The following is a 25,560-nucleotide window of genomic DNA, read 5'->3' on the forward strand; positions in this document are numbered from 1 at the left end:
TTAAATTTTAACCGTCTTTGGCTACTGATTACAATTTTCAATGAGAAAAAGTTTCTAAACTTTCTTATCACAATAATTGCAGCTAACGTTTCTTTAAAAATAAAAATTTTATTCAAGTAATATGATTATGGTAATTTAAGTTCCAGGTTATTTTACCTTAAAAAAAGTTTTAAATCATCCTAGGTTGTCATGACTGCAAAAAAATTATATTGTCACACTTATTTGTAGATTATAAAATTTACTGAGAAGACTTTTAAGATAGTGGCAGTAACCTTTGTATCACTCTGAGACAACTTAGAAATGTTAAAGATATACTGCAAACTCTAGGGTAACCACTAAAGTTGAAAAAAAAATGTTAAGGCCTTGTAAGGAGGTGTCAGTGGAGCTCTTTAAAAGCAGCAGCAAAGGAATCAGGATGGTAATAGTTTATGAGCATCCTGATGGCTCTGGGTTATAAACCTGATCTCTTCAAAATTCTGCATAGTGATTTTGTCCCAGGAGATCCTTCCAGTGTTTCTGAAAACCAGCTCCAGATAGAATTGTTTGTGCATAATTTAAGTCTCAGCTATGTTAGAAAATTGTTCCTATTATTTGGAAATTCTCAGGATGGAGGCCGGGCGCGGTGGCTCACGCCTGTAATCCCAGCACTTTGGGAAGCCGAGGCGGGTGGATCACGAGGTCTGGAGATCAAGACCATCCGGCTAACATGGTGAAACTCCGTCTCTACTAAAAATACAAAAAATTAGCTGGACGTGGTGGCGGGTGCCTGTCGTCCCAGCTACTCGGGAGGCTGAGGCAGGAGAATGGCATGAACCCGGGAGGTGGAGCTTGCAGTGAGCTGAGATCGCACCACTGCACTCCAGCCTGGGCAACAGAGCGAGACTCTGTCTCAAAAAAAAAAAAGAAAAGAAATTCTCAGGATGGATAGAAACCTTAAAGGTTATGTTTCAACCTCTCAGCTAATGTTTGGAATCACCCTTGTTGCAAATGACTGCAAATCTATCTTCCTTTCTGACTCTTTGGACCATAGAGAACAAACCTAATCTCTCTTTAAGATGACAGCCCTTTACTAAGTAAAAAAAGTGCTTCATCCTACTAGTCTTTGCCCAGTGAAAATAATTGTCCATAATGACCTCAACTGCTCCTTATATGATCAGCTTTAGAGTTATTCAGTCTCCACTTCCTCAGTGTAATATGCAGAATTGAGTGTGATATGACCAAGGAAAAAAGTAGAGAATAAATAGCCCTGTTCCCTTTTTCTAAACATAGTCTTGTGTTAGATATTTGGCAGTCATGCCATATTCTTGAACCATTGAGCCTTCTGTCCGCTGAAGTCCCTATGCTACTCACTCATGCTGCTGCTAAGCCACATCTCCTCCACTCTTCATTGGTGCTGTTGGTTTCTTCACACAAATAAGTAGATGGGAATGGAATGAGGTTTTCCTATACAGTTGTTACATACTTGTCTTTATGAATTTTATCGTATAAGCATTAATCCTTTGCTCTAATTTGTTGGGATTTAAAGGATGCTAATTTCGTTGTTCCAGTTTTAGGCTATTTGCGTATTTATCAAGCACACATACTATACATTTTTTAATCACTTAAAAAATTGAAGAAAGAGCTATGGTTAGGGTACTGAGCCCAGCAGTAATAACCAGTGTTCAACAGGCCCCTAGTGTAGGCCTGTCCTAAGCTGAATTCACCATTATAAGTTAGTTGTTAAACTTGACAAGCTGTTCAAATCTATATACTATATATGTGAACCTTCGGACAAGGTGCTCTGCTCTCGTTTTCTCATCCATGAAGGAATTACTATGAGGATCAAATGAGATACATGTAAATAGTTTAGCACAATTAGCACATAGTAAGGGCTTAATAGATGTTAGCTTTGACCATATTGATTCTTTAATAGAGCAGTCTTCATGCTGTTACCCATATCCCTGGGTACACTCAGACTGTGTTATACAAGGGTAACGGGCACGTTGATAGTTTTAAGGGAATCAGTTTTTGGATCCTAAACTTCAGTAGGTCCTGTTGCTGAATATTTCTCTGCCTGAGAACAGAACTTCTCAAGCAGTTCTCTTTCCCTTAGTCACTTTTCATAGTCAACCCCTCCTAGTTTACAAATAGAAGGCCTGAGGTGTAAAACTTCAAGGTTCCAAACGGTGTTGTAATTCGAAGTAAAGGCATCAGTGTAGGCTATGTCGGGATATCAAATAAGTGTTTACATGACAGATGGTTTTCAATTGTTTGCTTTCAACCAAGTTGCTGGATCATTGAAAATAATTTTCGATGATAGGATCTTTATGGCACTTTTAGCATATGCTTTGGAAGGACTTTAAACAATTATGGGCTGATCGTGGTGGCACGGTGGCCCCAGCCTGTAATCCCAGCACTTTGGGAGGCCGAGGCGAGCAGATCATCTGAGGTCAGGACTTAGAGACCAGCCTGATCAACATGGCGACACCCCGTCTCTACTGATAATACAAAACTTAGTCAGGCGTGGTGGTGCGTGCCTTTAATCCCAGCTACTTGGGAGGCTGAGACAGGAGAATTGCTTGAACACAGGAGGTGGAGGTTGCAGTGAGCCAAAATCATGCCATTGCACTCCAGCCTAGGCAGCAAGAGTGAAACTCCATCCAAAAAAAAAAAAATTATGGGACAATGGTATAATAGTCTCCTTCCGTGATCATCATCTTGCTTATGTGAATACATTGTCTTGATGATGACAAAAGGAAAAATAAGAATAAGATTAATGATGAATCTTCTCACTCTAGCAGTAATTTTTATTCATGAATTCGTGAACTGATTTGTTTCAAAAGTCCCATCCATATCATTAAGAAATGCCTGGCCAGGTGCAGTGGCTCATGCCTGTAATCCCAGCACTTTTGGAGGCCGAGGCGGGCAGATCGCTTGAGCTCACAAGTTTGAGACCAGCCTGGGCAACACGGCAGAACCCCATCTCTACAAAAATTAGCTGGGCCTGGTGGCTCACGCCTGTAATTCTAGCACTTTGGGAGGCCAAGGCAGGTGGATCACCTGAGGTCAGGAGTTTCAGACTAGCCTGGCCAACATGGTGAAACCCCGTCTCTACTAGAAATACAAAAATTAGCCGGGCGTGGTGGCACACTCCTGTAATCCCAGCTACTTGGGAGGCTGAGGCAGGAGAATCGTTTGAACCCAGGAGTTGGAGGTTGCAGTGAGCCGAGATAGCACCACTGCACTCTAGCCTGGGTAACAGAGCGAGACTCCGTCTCAAAAAAGAAAAGAAAAAAAAAAAAAAAAGCTGAGGTGGGAGGATGACTTGAGCCTGGGAGGCAGAGGTTGTAGTGAGCTGAGATCATGCAACTCCACTCTAGTGTGCGGAGTGATAGCTAGATCTTCTATCATAAAAAAAAAGAAAAAGAAAAAATGCCCTTTCCAATAACATTTTCTTAAGTTTGTATTTAATGAAGATTGTAACATATATATTGTTTTGATCAATTTTATGCTAATAATGATTATGATAAACTAGAATAATTTTCTAAGACTTAAAGACATACAGTTATAGGAAATAAAAGAATTTTTATGTACTTATCTTTGATGTGGACAGTTATATATTACTTTAGGACGTAATTATCATGGGAGATATTGAAAGGAAATAAGAGTTCAAGGAGAAATAAGAGTTCTAGTGTAAAATTTCTCATTGCTAAAAGAAGCATTTGTTCATTTATTCTTTAAAATGATGATAATGGGTATCAAATTGCAATGCTATTTAGATTCTACTGAATGCATTAAAAAATGATGTAACACTTCTATTTCAAAATGAGGTAACAATTCTATGTCAAAGTGTCATTATGTACAGTAAGCCAGAAATTATTAATATATTGCAGCCATTTAAATTTATGGTGAAAATTTTTAAGTGTCACCTGAAAAATACGTGAAGGATACGTTGCTTTTAAGAATTGGGTTACGCCAGCAAGCATTTTGACCAGCACTTATCTAACTTTCTGTATTTCTTGGTAAACGTCACCCAAGCACAGCACTCACCCAAGCACAGCTCTGTCATGCTCATCCTAACCCTTTCCCCAGTGTCTTCACGCACTGCCATGTGTGGCACAGAACAGATGTGAGTGCCTCTCACCAGGCCTCGCGTTCTTCCACTCCCCAGGCTGCATTGGTAAATTGTGCTTATTCTGTTTCCTCCTATAGGACAAATTATTTTTCAGAAACCTCACTGCCATTCCTTGTAACTTGGCGTCAGTTCCTTCCTCATATACTGTCTCCAGCCTGAGCACACTGAATAAGTTTATTTAAGTCAGAATCACTTAATTCATCAGTGCCAAGTAAATTTGTTTCCCACAAAAATTCATATTCCCCACATAAGTCTAGAAATACAAAATTGACTTGGGCAGAGGGTACGGGTGGAGAGTGCAGGAAAAGGAAAGGCTGTGTCACCCAAATTCATAATCTCGACAAACCCAATTTTTGCCTACCCAGATACATAGTTAACCTGAGTAAGACAGACGTGAGATGAGGCAGGTGTTGCTTATTCTTAGTGAAGCCACAATGGGTCTTTAGGGACTTAGAAGTTTTTTGGCTTAGTCTAGAATCTCATCTGGGATTCATGTCAAGCAAGAGGAAGGGAAGTTAATTTATTGAATATTTGTTATATGTGTATAGTATCCTGGGGATTCAGTATATTCTACCTTGTTTCCCCCCAACTACTCTATAGAGCAGATTTTTTTAAAGACAGGGTATTGCTCCATCACCCAGGCTGGAGTGCAGTGGTGCAATCACAGCTCACTGCAGCCTCAACCTCCTGGGTTCAAGTGATCCTCCCACCTCAGCCTCCTGAGTAGCTGGGACCACAGGCGTGTACCACCACACCTGGCTGATTTAAAAATTTTTTTAGAGATGGGGTCTCACTATTTTGCCCAGCCTGATCTCAGACTCCTCCGCTCAAGCCATTCTGCCACTTCAGCTTCCCAAAGTGCTAGGATTACAGGTGTGAGCCACTGTTCCCAGTTCATCTTTTTTTAACCTGTATTTTTTAGCACACTAAAGCCTAGAGATAAATTACTTGCTCAAGTTCACAAAGTGAACAACTGGCAAAGCTAGGATTCAAACTGTTTGATTCCAAAACCCTTGTATTTTCTGTAATACTATGCTCCTTAATCTGTTGGCAGAGTCTATTTTTGGCTTCTTTTTAAAAATTATTATTTTTAGAGATAGGGTCTCACTACATTGCTCAGGCTGGACTTGAACTCCTAGGTTCAAGTGATCCTCATGCCTCAGCCTCCCAAGTAGCCACCACACCCAGTTTAAAGTCTACTTTCTTTCCCTTTTAAAGAAAAGGGACGTATATAACACATATATATATAACATATATATAAACATATATACATGTTTATATGAAATGTTTATATAAAAATATAACATTCCATTATCTATTGTAGTTTCCAACACTCCATCTTTCTAAAGTCTTTAAATTACACCTGTCTTTCAGCCATCTCTCTTACAAGGGCTTTCATCTTCCTGGGATATAATTCACCTAGGTTAGAATATAGGAACTCATAAGGAATACAAACGCATCGTAAGATCTCTTCGTACATTTGGGATGTCGTTTCCCACTTAGTAGTGTTTGAGCTACCTTCGTCATCCCTGTCAGCATCCTTCATAGAGAAGAAAAAACAAGACAGGAGTTGAAGAATTGTTCGTTTTTCTCCTTATCATCCACTGTCATGTCAGCAGTACATCTGTTGCTTGGAGAAACCCCATGCTGCCAAAGAAACCCTTTCTTGGTTTTTCTTTGCACTTTTCTCTTCTGCAAGGCCAAGCTCATTTTAGCTTTCCTGGAACCGTTTTTGGATGCTTGACACTTCTTTCATTCATCGTTAGTTATATGATTTTCATTTCCTCCTCCATGTGTTTTCTCTGAATCTGGGATTATTTCAGACTCTCCAGTTTAACCCTAACTTTTTTCTCTCTCTCCTTATGATCATTTAAAAGTAAAAATTGTTTAAAAGTTATTAATAAAACTTCATTTAAAATATAAAATATGTATTTGGACATTTCCAAATGCTCTTGACCATCTTCCCAACAGAATCTGAAGTCACAGGCTCATGTTTACCTTTTTAAAGTCATAGCTGATTATACTGAGGCTTTTCCTTAATTTCCGCTTACATTCTTGTTACTTGTGTAGTGACAAACAGTTCTTTGCTATTCACATGTTGGTCAGAATGGCAGTTCTCCCCAGGCTGCAGCATTCAACTTGTCAGATATTGTGTTGTTAATCCAATAAAACATCACATGCAAGTGCTGCTGCGCTTCCAGTGACTGTGTCCTTCTCTGTGCTAGCTTTCTGCTCTCTTAGGGACAGTCTCCTTGCTGGCTGGTGGTCTGTAATCAGCTCTCAAGAATGCTTTCTGTAGTTTGTCCTTCCCTCACCATGGATGCTCAACTTGCCTCTGCATCAGGCTCATGACTTCCGACGTGGCTGGGGTAGGCAGGGTCTGCAGCGCCTCTGCACGCTCAGCTGCCTTGCTAACCAGCCTTTTCTTTGGACTACGACACCCTCCACTTTTTAGTCTGATCTTAAATCTCATCCACATCTCAGTACCACAGTGAGATTATATGTACCAGACCAGTTTATGATTGTAATTACCTAAGTTCGGGTTTGGTGTTCTAATCTAGTGTCTAACACACCATCCACATAGATATGTTCTTAAGAAAAGCCATTTTGCAGTCTTCACTATTTCAGCACAAATTTTAATCTTTCAATAATCTGTTTTTACATATAAAATTTGCAGGCCCCTTTCACTCACTGAAATAGAAATTGTATTTTATGAATACTAAAAAGACATATCAGTTTAAAATACCAAACCATTTCTAATTTTATCATTACTCTTCTTTTAGGATTCTCCAAAAGCCCAGCTACGCCGGACAATAGAATGTTGTCGGACCAATTTATGTAACCAGTATTTGCAACCCACACTGCCCCCTGTTGTCATAGGTAGGTTAGCCGAGAAAAGTCGGAGCATGCTTCTCAAATATCTTCTCTGGTTTTACAGTAACCAGGCTACCTAGAATTGAACACGTCAGATTATTTTTTCATTTCAATTGTTTACATTGTTTACTTTTATTGTCAGGTCCGTTTTTTGATGGCAGCATTCGATGGCTGGTTTTGCTCATTTCTATGGCTGTCTGCATAATTGCTATGATCATCTTCTCCAGCTGCTTTTGTTACAAGTAAGAAGATATTTATTTTGAAGCAAAATATTTTGTCAAATATTAGATGTCAACCGCTGTTTGTAAAGCCAGTTGCAGAAACCATTAACTTGTATTCTCTGGTTGTATATCTCCTTTATGTAACTAGACTATAGTTCTCTTAAGGGAAAAGGACCTTACTACCAATTAATTAATTGGGCACAATTTCATACTTCTTGTATGTTCATGATTACTTATGATTTTCTTATTAATGGAATAGTGAGCTTTCTGGCATCTGAATGTTTTCGATCTGTCCCAAGAAACCCACTGTGTTATAATTCTTTTTTTTTTTTTTGCGTTATAATTCTTTAGAAATTTGGAGCTCCAGAATTGTTTGCATGTAGCCATGATTTCAGAAGACAGTTGCCAAAAAAGAAGAGTAATAAGAGACAGTCCCTAATGGATATAAACTTTAATAATAAAACATCATACCAACCTAGATACATTAATGAAACAAGTTAGTAAACCCATAAATAAACAAACCCAAGTACATACAGCAATTTAGCATATAATAAAGGAAACACTTCAGATTACTGAGGAAAAGACGTTCGCATACCTCCTTGTTTTTATTATAATTCCTCACCCTCAACAATGGGGTACCACAGTTGAGAAATCGTGTTTTGGGTCTTTCTAGATAATAGACTTGGAATCTTCTGTTAGGGAGGTGATGCGAAAGTCATATGATTATTCAGAGTAGGAGATGGGGTCGAGAGGAGAGCTCCACATCTGAGGTAGCCATCATCCCAAATGGCCCCCAGTGATTCTCACTGCCTGGGGTTCCTCCCCTTGGGGCCAGTCCCCTCCCATAACACATCAGGGCTGATCTGTGTGACAAATAGGATATGGCAAAAGTGACTTCCAAGTCTACGTTATAAACAGCTTTGCAGCTTTCACCATGGTCTCTGGGATCACTCACTCTGGGGGAAGCCAGGCATCATGCTATGTGGACACTCAACTCTGAGAGAGGCCCACACAGGGAGGAACTGAGGCCTCTTGCCAATACCCAGCCTGCAGCCTGTCGGCCTTGGAAGTGAGCCACCTTGGAAGTGACTGCAAGCTCCTGTCAAGCTTTCACATGAGTGCAGTCTCAGCTGACATCTGACCCTGAGCTACCCAATCAAGTCACTCCTGAATGCATGATCCACAGAAACAGTGAGATAACAATTGCTGTTTTAAGCCACTCAGTTTGGGAGTGATTTGCTAACACAGTATTGGATAATCCAGTGTCCGACTTTCTGAAAATTGACTTTCAAGCAGTCTTCTTGGTGTTATTGTCACCCTCAACTTTACTTCCAGACATAACCACAATGGCCAGTTCCGAAGTTCTTGGGGGAACTCCATAGTATAAACTGGTTGCTTCTTGGTTTTCTCAATTTCTAACCTAAGAATCAGACTTTTTGGGTGTGCAAAGTCACTGCTCATTCATCTGCTTCATGAATTCCAACAGTGTTTACTGTTATTTTATCTCCTTTTCTCCTTGCCTGTTAGATAAAGAAGTTTAAAACTCTTTATTGCTGTTTTAGTGGACTAGTAAAAGCAAGCAAGTATGCTCAATCGGTTATTTTAAGCTCAAAGTCCCTTTGTCAAATAACTGAATCTTTGCCAGTAAGACAGGTGATAATATCTCAAGGTGATTTTAATTTATATTTTCATATTAAAATACTTTTTTTATACATTGGTTTCTTTATTACACAAGGGCACTGTAATGTATATATTATTTTATTTATTTATTTATTTAGAAATAGAGTCTCACTCTGTCTCCCAGGTGGAGTGCAGTGATCTCGGCTCACTGCAATCTCTGCCTCCCAGGTTCAAGCGATACTCATGCCTCAGCCTTGCAAGTAACTGGGATTACAGGTATGCACTGCCACACCTGGCTAATTTTTGTATTTTTAGTAAAGACGGGGGTTTCACCATGTTGACCAGGCTGGTCTCAAACTCCTGACCTCAAGTGATCCACCCACCTCGCCCTCCCAAATTGCTGGAATTACAGGCGTGAGCCACCGCACCTGGCCTCTAATGTGTATAGTAAAATATTGTTGAGTATGCTTTTATTTTTCTTTTAAGAAAAGAACCATCTATATTTTTATTTAAATCATGTATTCATTTTGGGGGGCCTGTTTTTCCATTGAATTGCATAGATTTTTTTCTCTTTGATTTATAGAAGCTCTTTATATTTCAGAAATCAGCCCTTTGTAATATGAGCTACCTATACTTTTCTTTTTTTGTTTTTTTTTCATGCTGCGTTACCTCAGAGCTACCTACACTTTTCACTGTGGTGTGTCTTGAGACTGCCTGCAGTGCCTTCAGCCACATAGTAAAGAACCCTATCAGCCAGGTGTGTGCTCTCTAAGCAATGGGTAGGATGTTTCTTAAGGAAATCTGTTCAGCCCAAGAGATAAAACCTAAAAATACTGCTGTTAGGGCCCAGTGAAATGGTCCAGGCAGATTATCTTACAGTGAAGCTTGTAATCAGTAAACCCTACCCATATACTAACAGCTTGCCAATCAAGGTGTCAGGCTGTGAAGGATACTGATCTCTGAGAAACCAGAAACAAGTGAGGTGAGCCTTGTGATTGCCCACCTTCTTCTCCCTGAACAGAGTTTCGGGTTGGGCATCACAGGGGGAACCCAGGTGTAGCCAGTAGCCTGTCTCAGTTCGAAGAGTTGTGAGGAAGCTACCAAGCCTAGGGAAAGAGCACCTGAAATGATTGAGAAAACAGTGTTTGGTGCTCACACAAGGCTGGGAGTAGGATCTGTTCACACCAGCTGTGAGAGTTGAAAACCCCATAATTCATAGGTTTTGGTTGAAGGACTCAGGAGGATTTTGCCTCAGTGGTGGGGAATAATTAGCCCTAGACTAAACATGGCTCTGGTCTCACCCTAAAAGCAAGCCCCAAACAGATCACACCATTTCTAAGTCACTGTATCCTAGAACAAACTCAACAGTATTTATAGGAATATAAAAATATCTGGCATCCAACAAGGTAAAATTCACAATATCTGCCATCCAATAAATGAATACTATGAATAAATGAATACATATATAAATATGGTCCATAATGAGGGAAGAAATGAAGCAATCAAAACCACTGACCCAGAACTGATATAGACCTTAGAATTAGCAATTACATTAAAATAGTTATTATAACTGTATTTTTTATGTACAAAAGTTAAATCAAGACATGGCAGATTTTGTAAAAGACCAAAATGAAACTTTAGGAAATGAAATCTATAATATCTCAGATGAAATAATATACTAGATGAAATTAGTGACAGACTGTAGAAGAAAAGATGAGTGAACATGAAGACATAGGAATGAATAGAGAATAGTGAGCTGTGGGACAACTTCAGATGGCCTAATATAGATATAATTGGAGTTCCCAGAAGAGAGGAGGGACGAAAAACATACAGAAATAATGATCAAATGTTTTCAAATTTATCTATTATTATTATTTTTATTTATTTATTTATTTATTTATTTTGAGACAGAGTCTCGCTCTGTCGCCCAGGCTGGAGTGCAGTGGCACGATCTCCGCTCAATGCAAGCTCCACCTCCCGGGTTTACGCCATTCTCTTGCTTCAGCCTTCCGAGTAGCTGGGACTACAGGCACCTGCCACCATGCCTAAGTTTTTGTATTTTTAGTAGAGACGGGGTTTCATCGTGTTAGCCAGATGGTCTCGATCTCCTGACCTCATGATCCGCCCGCCTTGGCCTCCCAAAGTGCTGGGATTACAGGCATGAGCCACCGTGCCCGGCCTATTATTTTTATTTTTGAGACAAGGTCTTGCTCTGTCACCCAGGCTGGAGTGCAGTGGTGCAATCTCAGCTCTCTGCATACTCCACCTGCTGGGTTCAAGCGATTCTCGTGCTTCAGCTTCCCAAGTAGCTGGGATTACAGGCGTGTACCACCAAGCCTGGCTAATTTTTGTATTTTTAGTAGAGATGGGGTTTCACCATGTTGGCCAGGCTGGTCTCGAACTCCTGGCCTCAAGTGATCCACCTGCCTCGGCTTCCCAAAGTGTTGGGACTATAGGCGTGAGCCACTGCACTCAGCTTTTTCAAATTTAATGAAAACCATGAATCCAGATATCTGAAAGCTCAGCAAACCCTGAGTATAAGAAACATGAAGAAAACTACATTAAGGCACATGATAATTGTATTGCTCAAAACCGATAATAAAGAAATGTTAAATGAAACAAGAAGGAAAAAAGGCAGAGTATCTACAGAGGCACAAAGTTAAGGATGACAGCAGACCTTCTGTTGGAAACAGTGCAGTCAAGAAGATAGCGAACCAACATCTTTAAAGTGCCCAAAGAAAAACATCACAGACTTTGAATTCTATAGCCAGAGAAAATATCCTTCAAAAATGAAGGTAATGTGAAGATTTCCAGTCATACAGAAAACTTGAAAGAACCCCGCCCCCTTAGACCTACCCAACAAGAAATGTGAAGGGAAGTTCTTCGGGTGGAAAGACAGGCCAGGTGAAGATAAGAATCCACATAAAAGAATGAAGATCCGGAAATGGGGATCTAAGTGACCCTGGCACAAACTAACAATATCTTTTAAGATGAACAAAAAAGACTACTCATCTGAGACTCAGGCCATGGACACTCAAGTGAGTGACCTATAACACTTCACAGAACATACAATCAGACATCAGGAACTGGTCATGTAGGCTTTTTTATAGTTCTAAACTAAATACTACATAGAACTTTGTGACTGCCCTGTTTATTTAGCTTTAGAACTTCATGTGCTAGTTCAGTCTGTGAAGATTCATTATTGATCAGATATATACAATCTGTAATTTGGAATATTCATTCATATTTAGTTGAACTTTAACAAGTCACAAGTTGTTCTCCATAGCAAACCGTAAAAGAATAAAATTAAAGTTAAAGAGAGGTCTGTCCGTCAGCATATTAAGGTTTGTCTGTTTTGTTTGCCTCATTAATATTTTGTTTCCCTTTTTTCTGATGTGATCGTTTTCCTCCAATTTAGATACGTCTGCAATTTATTCTTCAGTCTCATTTACATTCATGACCCATGATCCTCAAAACCTATACCTTCTCTAAAACCTTATCTGGAACCATGGCCTCCCTCCACTGTGGACGAGGCATCATTCTGTACCATACGCCAGTTCCTGGTTGTTTCCTCTGGCATCTTCTTTTGTAGCTCCTTTAATCCTTCAGACTGCTTAGATCCTATGATCTGCCCCCATAACACTTACTAATTTTATCTTGCATTTTTTTACATTGGCAAGTATTCGTTTACTTACTCATGCATATTTGCCAAAAGTCTGCATTTCCATTCAACAGGAATCTCATTGGTAACAGAGATTACTTAACCATTAATATTGATGATCAACTGGCTGGCTGTTTAAATTGCCACTTTCCTATTGAATTTTGAAGGGTGCCCATGGTGAATCTTGTGTGTCCCTCATGCTTGGCACACAGTGGATACTTACTCACTCTTGTTGATGTTTGCCAGCCACCTTGGCCCAGAATTTCTGCTTGGGAAATAGTATCACGGATGCATTTGTCAGATGAAAAGCCTGCTTCTGGCTTTATAATGGACCCTTTATCCTCATTGTCTTTAGGGGACTCCTGGTCCTAGAGTAGTTAAATAGTAAGAATTGAATGATTTTTTTAAGTTGCAGTGATTACAGCAAAAAAAAAAAAATTGCCAAGTAATGTTTTATTTAATAAGAAAGAAACATTTTCTGAATACCTAAAAAAGAAGCTGCCAATCAGCTTTTAAAGTGATTAAAAATAAGAAAAAATGCCCTATATGTACACATATTTTTATCACTTTCAGCACTCTCCATGTATTTAATTCCAAGTTTTAGGTCCAAGTTTTCATTTGATACCATATTCCTTCTGCCTGAAGAATTTCTTTAACCTCTTGGAGTGCAGGTCTGCTGGCTGTAAGTCCTCTCAGCTTTTGTCTGCAGTCTTTTGACTTCATTTTCCCAAGGTATTTTCACTGGCTATAGAATTCTGGATGGGCTCAAGTTTGTTTCCCTTAAAGCTGTCACTCATTATCTTCCACTTGCATGCCTTCTGACATACATTTTATCTTTGATGTATTATATGTAATTTTTTTCATGGCATCCTTTAATGTTTTCCCTTTATCTTTTAAACAGCTACAATACATTTAGAAGCGTGTGTGTGTGTTTCTTTTTTGGTATTTACTCTGCTTTGGGTTTCACTGAGCTTAGTGAATCTATGGTTTGCTATCTTTCATTATTATTGCAAAATTATCTACTATTTTTTTTAAAACACTTTGTCCTTTTGGCTGGGCGCGGTGGCTCACGCCTGTAATCCCAGCACTTTGGGAGGCCGAGGCGGGCGGATCACGAGGCCAGGAGATCGAGACCATACTGGCTAACATGGTGAAACTCCGTCTCTACCAAAAATACAAAAAAAGAAATTAGCCAGGCGTGGTGGCGGGCGCCTGTAGTCCCAGCTACTCGGGAGGCTGAGGCAGGAGGATGGCGTGAATCCGGGAGGCGGAGCTTGCAGTGAGCCGACATCGCGCCACTGCACTCCAGCCTGGGCGACAGAGTGAGACTCCGTCTCAAAAAAAAAAAAAAAAAAAAAAAAAAAAAAAAAAAAAAACACTTTGTCCTTTTATCTGTCTCTTCTGTTTTTGAGACTCCAATTATACATATTTTAGATTATTTGGTGTTGTGCCACAGCTCTTTAATTCTTCAGTTTTTCTCACTTGTTTTTTCTCTTTGTATTTTAGTTCAGGTAACTTCTATTTACCTATTTTCAAATGCACAGATTTTTTTTTTTCTTCACCTGTGTCCATCTGAGCTGTGTATTGTTGAGCTCATCAAACATTCTTCATCTTTAATAGCATGTTTTCCCTTTCTCACATTCCTGTCTGACTTCATTTTTCTGCTGAGACTCTCCATCTGTGTATTCTGTTACCACCTTCACCAGTTGCCTTCCCCTTTTAATCACAGTTCTGTGAAAGGCCCTCCTGACAGCTTCAGCACAAGTGCTGTCTGACACTTGGCCTCTTGATTGCCTGCCCTCTTGGCAGTGAGTGATTATTCCTTGCTTTTTAATGGGTCTCATAAGTTTATTTGGATGTTGTACATCATGTTAAGAATAGCAGAGATTGTCACAATGAGATATCAACCTCACCCCAATTAAAATGGCCATTATCAAAAAGAAAACAAATGCTGGGGAGGGTATGGAGAAAGGGGAACCCTAGCACACTGCTGGTGGAAATGTAAATTGGCACAGCTACTATGGAGAACAGTGTGGAGGTCCCTCAAAAAACTAAAATCAGAACTACCATATGATCTTGCAATCCCACTATTTGGTATATATCCAAAAGGAAATCAGTATATTGAAGGCCTGTTCATTCCCCTGTGTTTAAGCACTATTCATAATGGCCAAGATGTGGAATCAACCGTGTCCATCAGCAGGTGAATGGATAAAGAAAATGTGGTCCATACAGTGGAATATTACTCAACCAGAAAATTAATGAAATCCTGTTATTTTCAGCAACGTGAATGGAACTGGAGTTCATTAATGTTAAGTGAAATAAGCCAGTCATAGACAAATATTACATGTTCTCAATCATACGTGGGAGCTAAAAAGGTTGATTTCATAGAGGTGGTAAGTAGAATAACATACCAGAGGTTAGAAAGGAGGGAGGGAGGTTGGATGAAGATGGATGGATGAAGAGAGGTTGATTAAGGGGCACAAAAATACAATTACTAATAGAAGGAATAAGTTCTAGTATTTGATAGTACAGTAGGGAAATTATAGTTAGTAATTTATTGTGTATTTCAAAGTAGCTAGTCTTTAAGAGAAGAATTGTAATATTCCCAACACAAAGATACAGCCTGGGCAACATGGTGAAACCACATCTCTACAAAAAAATACAAAAATTAGCTGGGCATGGTGGTGCACATCTGTGGTCCCAGCTGCTGGGGAGGCTGAGGTGGGAGGATTGCTTGAGCCCAGGAGGCGGAGGTTGCAGTGAGCCAAGATCATGCCACTGCACTCTAGCCCAAGCGACAGAACAAGGCCCTGCCTCTTCTTCCCCACCCAAAGAAAAACAAAAGATAAATATTTGAGGTGATGGCTATCCCAGTTACTCTGATTTGTTCATTTTACATCGTATACATGCATAAGATATCACATGTACCCCCCAAAATATGTACAACTATTATACATCAGTTTTAAAAAGAACAACAGACATTGAAATAAAGACATACTCCTGAAAATGGGCATACCTCCTCTTAGGCTGTTGATAGGCAGGAGGTGTTCAGTCTAGTACGAGTCGATTTGGGTTAGGGTTTTGTTCAGTGTTTGGGCCTGTGCCTTCAATGCCTCACAAGTTTCAAATTCCTTCAGTGATGGGCTGCTGTTCATTTGCTTCGAGTTGGGGTTTAGGTGCAGAAGGAAGGGTTTTTCTCTGAGTTCCTACCTCCCCTGTAGCTTTCAGCTCTTACCACGTCATTGCACCTCTGTGGGAGTCACTGTCTATGTTCTTGTTCCTCCCACAGAGGTCATCTGCTGTTGCGTGTTATTCACATTAGAGGACAGTTGGAAAGTGAGGGGGGCGTGCCTGTTGTCCTTAGGTAGGTTCTGTGTTGCTAGACCTTAAGGGTGCAGCTTCCTCAGGGCTCTTGCACCTCCTCCCACAGAGGTAGCTGACTGCCCTGTGGTCCTCCTGTAGGATCCTATGCCCACAAGGAGAGAGGAAGGTGTCATCTTCTCCTCTTCCTCAGCATCAGAGGATCTTAGCCTGGTCAGAGCACAGGGAGCATTTCCTCTACATCCCCAAGAGGCAGAGGGACTTTGCTGCTTCTCCTCCCTCCAAAGTAATGGATCTTTGCCTGTGCTCTGGGGCAGGGGGAAGAGGGTGTGCAAGAAAGAAAACAACAGTCATGTTATACAGCGAGGGCCTTGTGTAGATAGAGTTTATGTAGTCATAATAATGCAAGCACTGAATGTTGAGCTAAACAAATAATATAACTGTAAGGAGGATGTGAGGATGGAAGTATTTCTGTTTTGGGAAGCCGCAGGGTGTTAAATGATCAGTTAAATTGTCATATTCCCCAGTGTAAGGTCAATAGTTAAAGCCTAAGACTGAAAAACTTAAAATGTCAATGTAAGGATGCTATTTAGAAATAATGAGGGCCAGCTGTGGTGGCTCACACCTGTAATCCCAGCAATTTGGGAGGCTGAGGTGGGTGGATCACTTGAGGCCAGAAGTTCGAGACCAGCGTGGCCAACTAGCGGAACCTTAACTCTACTAAAAATACAAAAATTAGCCTGGTATGGTGGTGTGTGCCTGCAGTCCCAGCTACTTGGGGTTCCCAAGAATTGATCAAACCAGGAAGGCGGGGGTTGCAGTGAGCTGAGATCACACCACTGTACTCTAGCCTGGGCGACAAGAGTGAGACCCTATCTCAAAAAAAAAAAAGAAAAAAAAGAAAAAAGAATTAGGTAAATATTAAATAAGCTTCAAAAAGTCACAATTCTTTATTCTAAGAAGTGGAAACTGGATAGGAGGAGGAGAGGAGACAAAGTATGGCTTTTTCATTACCAAGCCATGGAGAACTGTATGACATTCAAAGGTAGGCGAATAAAGATGCTTGATAAAATTAAATATTAAGTTCTATAAATATAAAATTTGATACATTTAAAACTGAATTCTAAAAGTTTATAACACAAGGGTAGGGATAAAGGTGTAGGGAAAATAGGCATTCTCATATGTTGGTGGAGGGATTCCAACTGGTTCACCCTTTAAGGAGGTCAGTAGGGCACTCCATCAAAGTTCCAAATTCAGTAATTCCTACTACAGATATGGTAGAAAATTGTATTTCACACTTGAATGCAATAAGACTAGAAACCATCCAAATATTACCAGTAGGTGGCCGGGCGCAGTGGCACACATCTGTAATCCCAGCACTTTGGGAGGCTGAAGCAGGTGGATCATTTGAGGTTAGGAGTTCAAGACCAGCCTGGCCAACATGGTGAAACCCCATCTCTACTAAAAAAAAATACAAAAATTAGCCAGGTGTGGTGGTGGGTGCCTGTAATCCCAGCTACTCGGGAGGCTGAGGCAGGGAGGATTGCTTAAACCCGGGAGGCAAAGCTTGCAGTGAGCTGAGATTGCGCCATTGCACTCCAGCCTGGAGGACAGAGTAAGACTCCATCTCAAAATAAATAAAGAAAAATAAAAATAAAGATTACCAATAGGTGAATGGTTAGCAGCTATACAGTGGAATACTATCTAGCCATTAAAGAAAAAGGTGACACTTTGTGTACTTACGTGGAATGATACCCCAGGTAAGAAGCAAGATGCAGAACGGCATCAGTGTCTCTCCAGATTACCAGAGAAACCAGAAGTAGTTTTGTTTCTAAGGAAACAGGGAAATAATTCTCTTCTAAGGAAGTGAACTTGATAGCTTAGGGATAGAGCTGGGAGGAGGATTTTTTTTTGCCATATACCCTTTTGTGTCTTTTGGATTTTAAACTATTTGAGTCAATTACCCATATAAAGTTTTAAAAATAAAATTATAATGGTTAAGTACATTGGGCTATTTATATGGAAAATACTTTAATTTGTTTCTTAGTTTCCATTATATATTATACATTCTGAATGGACCATATGACTAAATGAGAGAATCAATATGTTAAAACCAGGCCAGGCACAGTGGGTCACACCTGTAATCTCAGCAGTTTGGGAGGCCAAAGCAGGAGGATTGCTTTGAACCCAGGCTGGTCTCATCTCGAACTCCTGTGGTCAAATCAACTTCCTATCCCAGGAGTTTGAGACCAGCCTAGGCAACATGGTGAAACCTCATCTCTATGAAAAATACAAAAATTAGCCAGGCGTAGTGGAACATACCAGTAGTCCCAGCCACTTGGGAGGCTGAGGTGGGAGGATCACTTAAGCCCAGGAGGTTGAAGCTTCAGTGAGCTGAGATCGTGCCACTACACTCTAGCCTGGGTGACAGAGTGAGACCCTGTCTCAAAAAAAAAAAAAAAAAAAAAATTAAACCTTGAGAACATATTTCTTGACATTAGGATTGGAAGGTTGTCTTAAGAGACAAAAGCATGTCAAAAAGAGTAAAGATGAAGTAATTTGTCTACACTAAAATTTAAAAACTGACATAAAAATGCCATAAAGAGAATGCTGTGATAATCATGGACTGAGAAGATTGTTGAAACACAATTGTCAACATTTGGTATACAGATTATATAATGAACGCCTACAAATCAATGAGGAGAAGAGTTCAGGGAACACTTCAATTGAATAATGTGCAATAAACACAAATAGATTGATCAGGCATAGTGTCTCACGCCTGTAATCCCAGCACTTTGGGAGGCCAACATGGCAGATCGCTTGAGCTCAGGAGTTCGAGACCATCCTGGGCAACATAGCAAAACCCCATCTCTACTAAAAATACAAAAAAAGATTAGCTGGGCATGGTGGCACGTACCTGTAGTCCCAGCTACTCAGGAGGCTGAGGTGGGAGGATCGCTTGAGCCTGGGTGGCAGAGGTTGCAGTGAACTGAGATCGTACCACTGCATTCCAGCCTGGGCAACAGAGCTAGATTCTATCTCAAAAAATAAGTATTTGTTAAAAATATGAGTAGGCAGTTCACAGAAAAAAAAAAGCTGAACTGTGGAAAAAAATTCAATTTTGCTAGTAACCAGAGGAAAGCATATTAAAAGAAGGCATTGTTTCATATCTATCAAGTTGGCAAAAGTCTGAAAATATGACTTCGAGGTTTGGGTTGGAATGTAAGGAAATGTATATTGTGATTATTTGAAGTCGTATTTTTTTATAGCTAGGATGACACTTCACATCTGATTTTGATAGTGTCTTTTTACATGCCAATACACTATAGACATCTTTCTGTTTTAACATGATACATAGAACTCTGAACTCCATTTCTAGATGTATTTAACAGGATATATTATCCAATGATAAGACTAATTTGGATAGGATTCTTTCTGAGGGAAGGATAATGGTATAGAGAACCTCAAGGTTTTTCTTAGGGTTTTATAGTTTTTCATTTTTAATGTAGATTGTTTTCTGCTTTTTTAAAAGACATTATTGCAAGAGCATCTCAAGCAGACGTCGTTACAATCGTGATTTGGAACAGGATGAAGCATTTATTCCAGTTGGAGAATCACTAAAAGACCTTATTGACCAGTCACAAAGTTCTGGTAGTGGGTCTGGACTACCTTTATTGGTAAGTTAAACGTTCCTATAGACATGAATGGTGTGTTGATTTAGAATGTGTCCTCATGATGGTGGACAGTATAATTATTGCAGATCAGGGAACAATAATGGACACATTTTTTTCTCCTTATTTAGAAAGAGGTATGCAGTATTGCAAGGTGAAATTAGTTAAAAATAAGAAATATGAACCAAGAAAAATAGAATAGTCAAGTAAGATAGAGCTATAAACCAGGTTATAGGAACCAAGTCCTACAGAGAAAGGCAGGGGAAGTTAGATCACGAAGTCCTATATGAAAGGCAAGAGTTAGCTCACAAGTTTTGCTCTAAGCATTTTACCAGCCAACTTAAAGAGGAATCAGGTATAAGATTCCTTGCATCTGTAAGTTTAAACTGATTGATTGAGGGAACTGTAACTATTTCAGATTCTGAAATAAAAAAGAAGTTTCAACAGATATTCTTAGAGAGGATGCTTCTCTCAATATACTACTACCAAAACACATAGTTCAATAAAAAATAATTTTAAAGGGAATTACAAATAAATTCCAACAAATTTGGATGGATTCTTGGTATCAGGGAAAAAAAAATAATCCCAGCAGGTTCATTTATATATGGAAATACTCAGTTTTGGGTTGAAGGAACTCTTATTTGAGAGGACCTGTATTATGAACACTAGATATCCAGATAGGTTTAAGTTTTTAATTGTATTAGTTGAAAGAAACTGATCTCTTCTTATTTTATTTTATTTTACTTTATTTTATTTTAATCGTATCGAGATAGTCTTGCTCTGTCACCCAGGCTGGAGTGCAGTGGCCCAGTCTTCGGCTCACTGCAACCCCTGCTTCCCAAGTTCAAGCAATTCCCGTCTCAGCCTCCGAAGTAGCTGGAATTACCAGATGCACCACCACACCAGGCTAATTTTTTTTTTTTTTTTTTTTTGAGGGATGAGGTTTCTCCATGTTGGCCAGGCTGGTCTCAAACTCCTGGCCTCAACTGATCCTTCCACCTTGGCTCCTAAAGTGCTGGGATTACAGGTGTGAACCACCGCACCCACCCTGATCTCTAATTTTGAAATTCATCTTATTAAATAACTCTAATTGAATTGGAAAGGTAAAAGTAAAACTGCCTTCATAGGCAGACAACATGATTGTTTACGTAGAAAATCCCAAGAATGGTACAATAAAACTACTGCAGCCAGTAAATGACTTTATCAGGTTGCAGAATACAGAGTCATTGTACAAATACCATTGAATTTATAGGCTCTAGCAACAAACAATTAGGTAATTATAAAAACAGTATTTAAAATAGCATCAAAAACCATGAAATATTTAGAATAAGCCTAACAATTTATGCAAGACCTGCACACTGAAAATTATAAAACATTGCTGAAAGAAATTAATAAAGCCCTAAATAAGTGGAGATGTTTATAAATCTGAGGACTCAGTATTAAGATTTCAGTTTTCCTCAAATTGGTGTGTAATTTCATTCGAATCCAAATGAAAATCAGAGCAAACTTTTATAGCAATTGATGTATATTCTAACATTTATATGGAAATGCAAAGGACTAGAAGAGCCAAAACAATTTTGAAGTAGAAGAACAAAGAGGAATCACTACCTGATTTCTGGACTTACCGTAAAACTCAATAATGATCTCAATTTGGTACTGGCATAAGGATAGATGTATTGATGAATGGAACAGATTATGGAGTTTAGAAAGGAACATGCACTTAATATGGTTAATTGATTAAAAAAAAAAAAACAAAAAGATGCCCAAGTAATTCAATTGGAAAAAGGCAGTCCATTTAACAGATGGTGCAGGAAATATCAGGAATCCATTTACCAAGAAGTTAATCTCAGTCCTTACCTCCTCACTCTATACCAAATTAACTTGAAATGTAGCATAGACCTAAATGTAAAAGTTGAAGTATAAAACCTCTAAAAGAAAATGTCTGAAAAAATTATTCTGACCTTGGGCAGACTTCTTCAGTACATAAAAAACACAAATCATTTTTTTAATGATAAATCAGGCTTTATCAAAATTTAAAACTTCTGCTATTTAGAAGACAAGAAAATGAGAAGACAAGTCACAGATTGGCAAAACAGATCTGATACAGGGTTTTTGTGCAAAATATATAAAGACCTTTTGCAACTCAATAATAAGATAACCCAATTTTTTTAAAAAATGGACAAAAGATTTGAACAGACACTTCCCCAAAGAAGATATAAGAATGGCAAACAAGCACATGAAAAGATGCTCAGCATCAGCAGGGATATACAAATTAAACACAGTAAGATACTACTGCACATCCACTAGTATAGCTAAGACTGATAATATTAAGTGGTGCCAAAGATGTAGATCAACTAGAAATCTCATACATTGCTGGTTGGAATGCAAAATGGTATGGCTATTTTGAAAAATAGTTTGACAATTGCCTGGAAAGTTAAGGGCATACTTTCCGTACAATGAAGCAATCCTTCTGCTAATTATTTACCCAAGAGATATGAAAACTTGTCCACACCAGAGGCCTGAATGTGAATGTTTATAGCAGTTTTATTTATAATAGACATAAACTGGAAACAACCCCAAAGCTCATGAATTGCTAAATGAATAAACAAATGCTGGTACATTCATACAGTGGAATATTACTCATCAGTAAAAAGGAACAACTTCTAACACATGTAGCAGCAACAGTGGGTGAATTTCAAAAGTACTTTATGCTACATGAAAGAAGCCAGACACAAAAGGCTACACAAAAGTGATTCTCCTGCCTCAGCCTCCCAAGTAGCTGGGATTAAGGCATGCACCACCATGCCCAGCTAATTTTTGTATTTTTTTTTAAGTAGAGACAGGGTTTCACCATGTTGGCCAGGCTGGTCTTGAACTCCTGACCTCAGGTGATCCACCCGCCTCGGCCTCCCAAAGTGTTGGGATTACAGGCGTGAGCCACCACGCCTGGCCAAAAAGTGAGAATTTTTTTACGTTATTAAAATATTCTGTATCTTAATTGTGGTATTGGTGATTACATGATATAGATTTGTCCAAGGCTTGTTGAACTTTTCTCAAAAAGGGTACATTTTATATAAATTATACCTCAATAATCTTGACTTAAAAACTTACAGGCTGAGGCAGGCAGATCACTTGAGGTCAGGTGTTCGAGACCAGTCTGGCCAACATGGTGAAACCCTGTCTCTACTAAAAATACAAAAATTAGCTGGACGTGGTGGCAGATGCCTGTAATCCCAGCTGCTCGGGAGGCTGAGGCAGGAAATTGTTTTAACTGGGGAGGCAGAAGTTGCAGTGAGCTGAGATTGGCCGCCGCACTCCAGCCTGAGCAACGGAGCGAGACTCTGTCTCAAAAAAACAGAACAAAATTTACAAAAGGATTCTATAATAAATGATACATAAAGTCACTTTAGCTTTGCACTAAATCTAGTCCATTTTAGAAGCATTTCCAACTTGGAGCATAATGTTCTTTTTAATTTAGAATGATCACTAATGCTTCTGAAAATGAAAGATAACAATCCATGTACATCTTTTATTTAACAAATATTAAAGTACTTCTGATATTGTCCCAAATAAATACTTATATTCTGTGAGCAGGGGATGGAATTCAAGCAAATATATATGTAAATAAGAATAAAGTTATGATTGTGTTAAGCGCAGCAACTGAGAGGTTTTGTGTGCTATGAAGGTGTTTAAGTGAGAAAATAGCACTCTAAGTAAAGGGAACTGGATATTCAAAAAAACCCAGCGACAGGAATAAGCTTGAGTGAATTCTAAAAGTTGAGATAAGTCAAACGAGGTTTGTGGGTGGGTGGTCAAAGCAAATAATGGGACCAGGCCAGATCAGGCAGGGTCTTATAGATGGGATTTTTAAGATCTTTAACTGTTATTTGGACTTTGCTGCATAATAAACCACCCCAAAACTTAGTGATGTGAAGCAACAAACATTATTTCTCATTCTGTGAGTCTGTGGGGCAGTTCATTTGTTGGACTTGCTTAGCTAGAGCTAGGTGGTGTAGTTCACACCCTTGGCCGACAGTTCATGCTGCCATTATTTTTTGGTCACAGGGTTCCCAAAGCAGCAGGAAGGGGGCAAGCCCCAGTCCACAAACATTTGTCAGGTCTTTGCTTGCATCACGTTCGCTGTTGTTCTTTTATCCAAAGCAAGTCATGTGGCCTAAGCCCTGAGTCTGTGGACCAAGACTACCCACGACTGTGTGCACTGGGAGGGTAATTATTATGACCATTTTTGCAAACAGCCAGCCACTTGAATAACCTGTTTATGATTTCAGAATACATTGTACATTGTTTCATACTTTAAAGTACATTATGGCCGGGCATGGTGGCTCACGCCTGTAATCCCAGCATTATGGGAGGCCGGGGGTGGGGTGGATCACCTGAGGTCAGGAGTTCAAGACCAGCCTGGTCAACGTGGCTAAACCCCATCTCTACTAAAAATACAAAAAAATTAGCTGGGCATGGTGGCGGGTGTCTGTAATCCCAGCTACTTGGGAGGCTGAGGCAGGAGAATCACTTGAATCTAAAAGGTGAAGGTTGCAGTGAGCCGAGATCGCGCCACTGCACTCCATCCTGGGTGACAGAGCGAGACTCCATCTCAAAAAAAAAAAAGTACATTATAAGTTTTTAACTGGAGTTGGTTGGGTACACCATGCTTTTTGATGAGATGGACTACCCCTTTGCCAGTCTTAATGGGTTTCTTTCATCAAGAGCTCAAACCTTTTACTTTTTTCTATAAAGGTTCAGCGAACTATTGCCAAACAGATTCAGATGGTCCGGCAAGTTGGTAAAGGCCGATATGGAGAAGTATGGATGGGCAAATGGCGTGGCGAAAAAGTGGCGGTGAAAGTATTCTTTACCACTGAAGAAGCCAGCTGGTTTCGAGAAACAGAAATCTACCAAACTGTGCTAATGCGCCATGAAAACATACTTGGTGGGTACACACTGATTCAGTCAATTTCATTTTTGACAAGGCTAGTGAGGTACAGGTGGAAGCCTCCATATGTGCTTTGAAAATGTGTGAGTTCAACTATATACATTTGGCTAAAGGAAACCTAGTAGAATACACGGTTTGAATAAAACATAGTCCGGAATGCCAACCAAGATCTTTCTTTACTAACCAGCTGAAGAAACAGCAGTGAGTTTCAAATGGAAAATAATACTAGTTTATTGGACTTACTCCCATAGTAATGAAAACCCAGTCTTTTATAGATAACTTAAGCAGTGATTTAGGGTAACATTAACATATGTGCCTTTTCCCTTTCATAAGCTCAACAGCCCAACATGCAGTTTCATTGTACGTTCTGTGTTTAATGTGTGTTTCCCCCCATCTCCACATTTACACAATAGCAAAGTAATTTAGGTGTGAGCTGGTCAGTCAGGTACATAAGCCGATCTGGCTATCCTGAGTTTTCTTTTCCCTTCACCTCTTGTTTTCCTCCCTTTAATTTGGAGAGCCCATAGCATGTTGCCAAGCAGGCAATTGTATTAGTTTCCTAGGGCTGCTGTATCAATTACCACAAACTGGGTGGCTTCAACCTCCAAAACGTATTCACTCAGTTTTCGAGGCTAGAAGTTTAAAACCAAGGTGTTGGCAGAGCTGTTGTGTCTCTGAATACTCTAGAGGAGGAGCCTTCCTTGCCTCCTCTGGCTACTGGTTGGTGGCCAGGAATTTTTGGTGTTCCTTGGCTTAGTATAGACAACACTCTAGTCTCCATTTCTGTCATCAGGTGGCCTTCTCCCTGGGTGCCTGGGTCCACATTTCCACCTTACAACATCACCAGCCATTGAATTCGGGCCCACGCTAATCCTGTATGAGTCATCTTAACTTGATTACATCTGCAAAGACCCTCTTTCCAAATAAGGTCACGTTTATAGATGACATGGATTTTAGACATGAATTTTGTCGGGGAGCACTGTTCAGCTCAGTACATAGCACTCACTGACCTTTTTCTGGAGGGAAGAGGGTAGGAGAGAAAGGAAAAGAGCAGGACTGTGGGCCTGGCAGTCAACGAGCCAGACTGAAAAGGCAGCTGTGATGAGTCACTGATGGGCAAATGGGAG

At 39.7% G+C, this 25,560-nt stretch overlaps 1 protein-coding gene across 36 annotated transcripts in view; it reads left to right on the top strand.

The window, feature by feature from the left end:
• Nucleotides 1-25,560, top strand: part of BMPR1A (bone morphogenetic protein receptor type 1A) — a 177,082-nt gene that overhangs the window by 137,134 nt on the left and 14,388 nt on the right. For 32 of the 36 annotated variants that reach the window (NR_176213.1, NR_176212.1, NR_176211.1 and 29 more), the window contains 4 exons: nt 6,898-6,994; nt 7,131-7,230; nt 19,344-19,488; nt 24,238-24,430. Coding sequence is in view for 33 of the 36 variants with exons in the window: in NM_001406562.1 (NP_001393491.1) it covers nt 6,898-6,994; nt 7,131-7,230; nt 19,344-19,488; nt 24,238-24,430 (535 nt within the window). In the remaining 3 variants the exon portion in view is untranslated. Of the gene's footprint in view, nt 1-6,897; nt 6,995-7,130; nt 7,231-9,057; nt 9,106-15,779; nt 15,855-19,343; nt 19,489-24,237; nt 24,431-25,560 lie in introns of all 36 variants that reach the window. The other 4 variants (NM_001406560.1, NM_001406559.1, NM_001406583.1 and 1 more) reach the window with 4 other exon arrangements.

The sequence above is a fragment of the Homo sapiens genome, chromosome 10 (genome assembly GCF_000001405.40).
Source record: "Homo sapiens chromosome 10, GRCh38.p14 Primary Assembly".
Taxonomy (NCBI): Eukaryota; Metazoa; Chordata; class Mammalia; order Primates; family Hominidae; genus Homo; species Homo sapiens.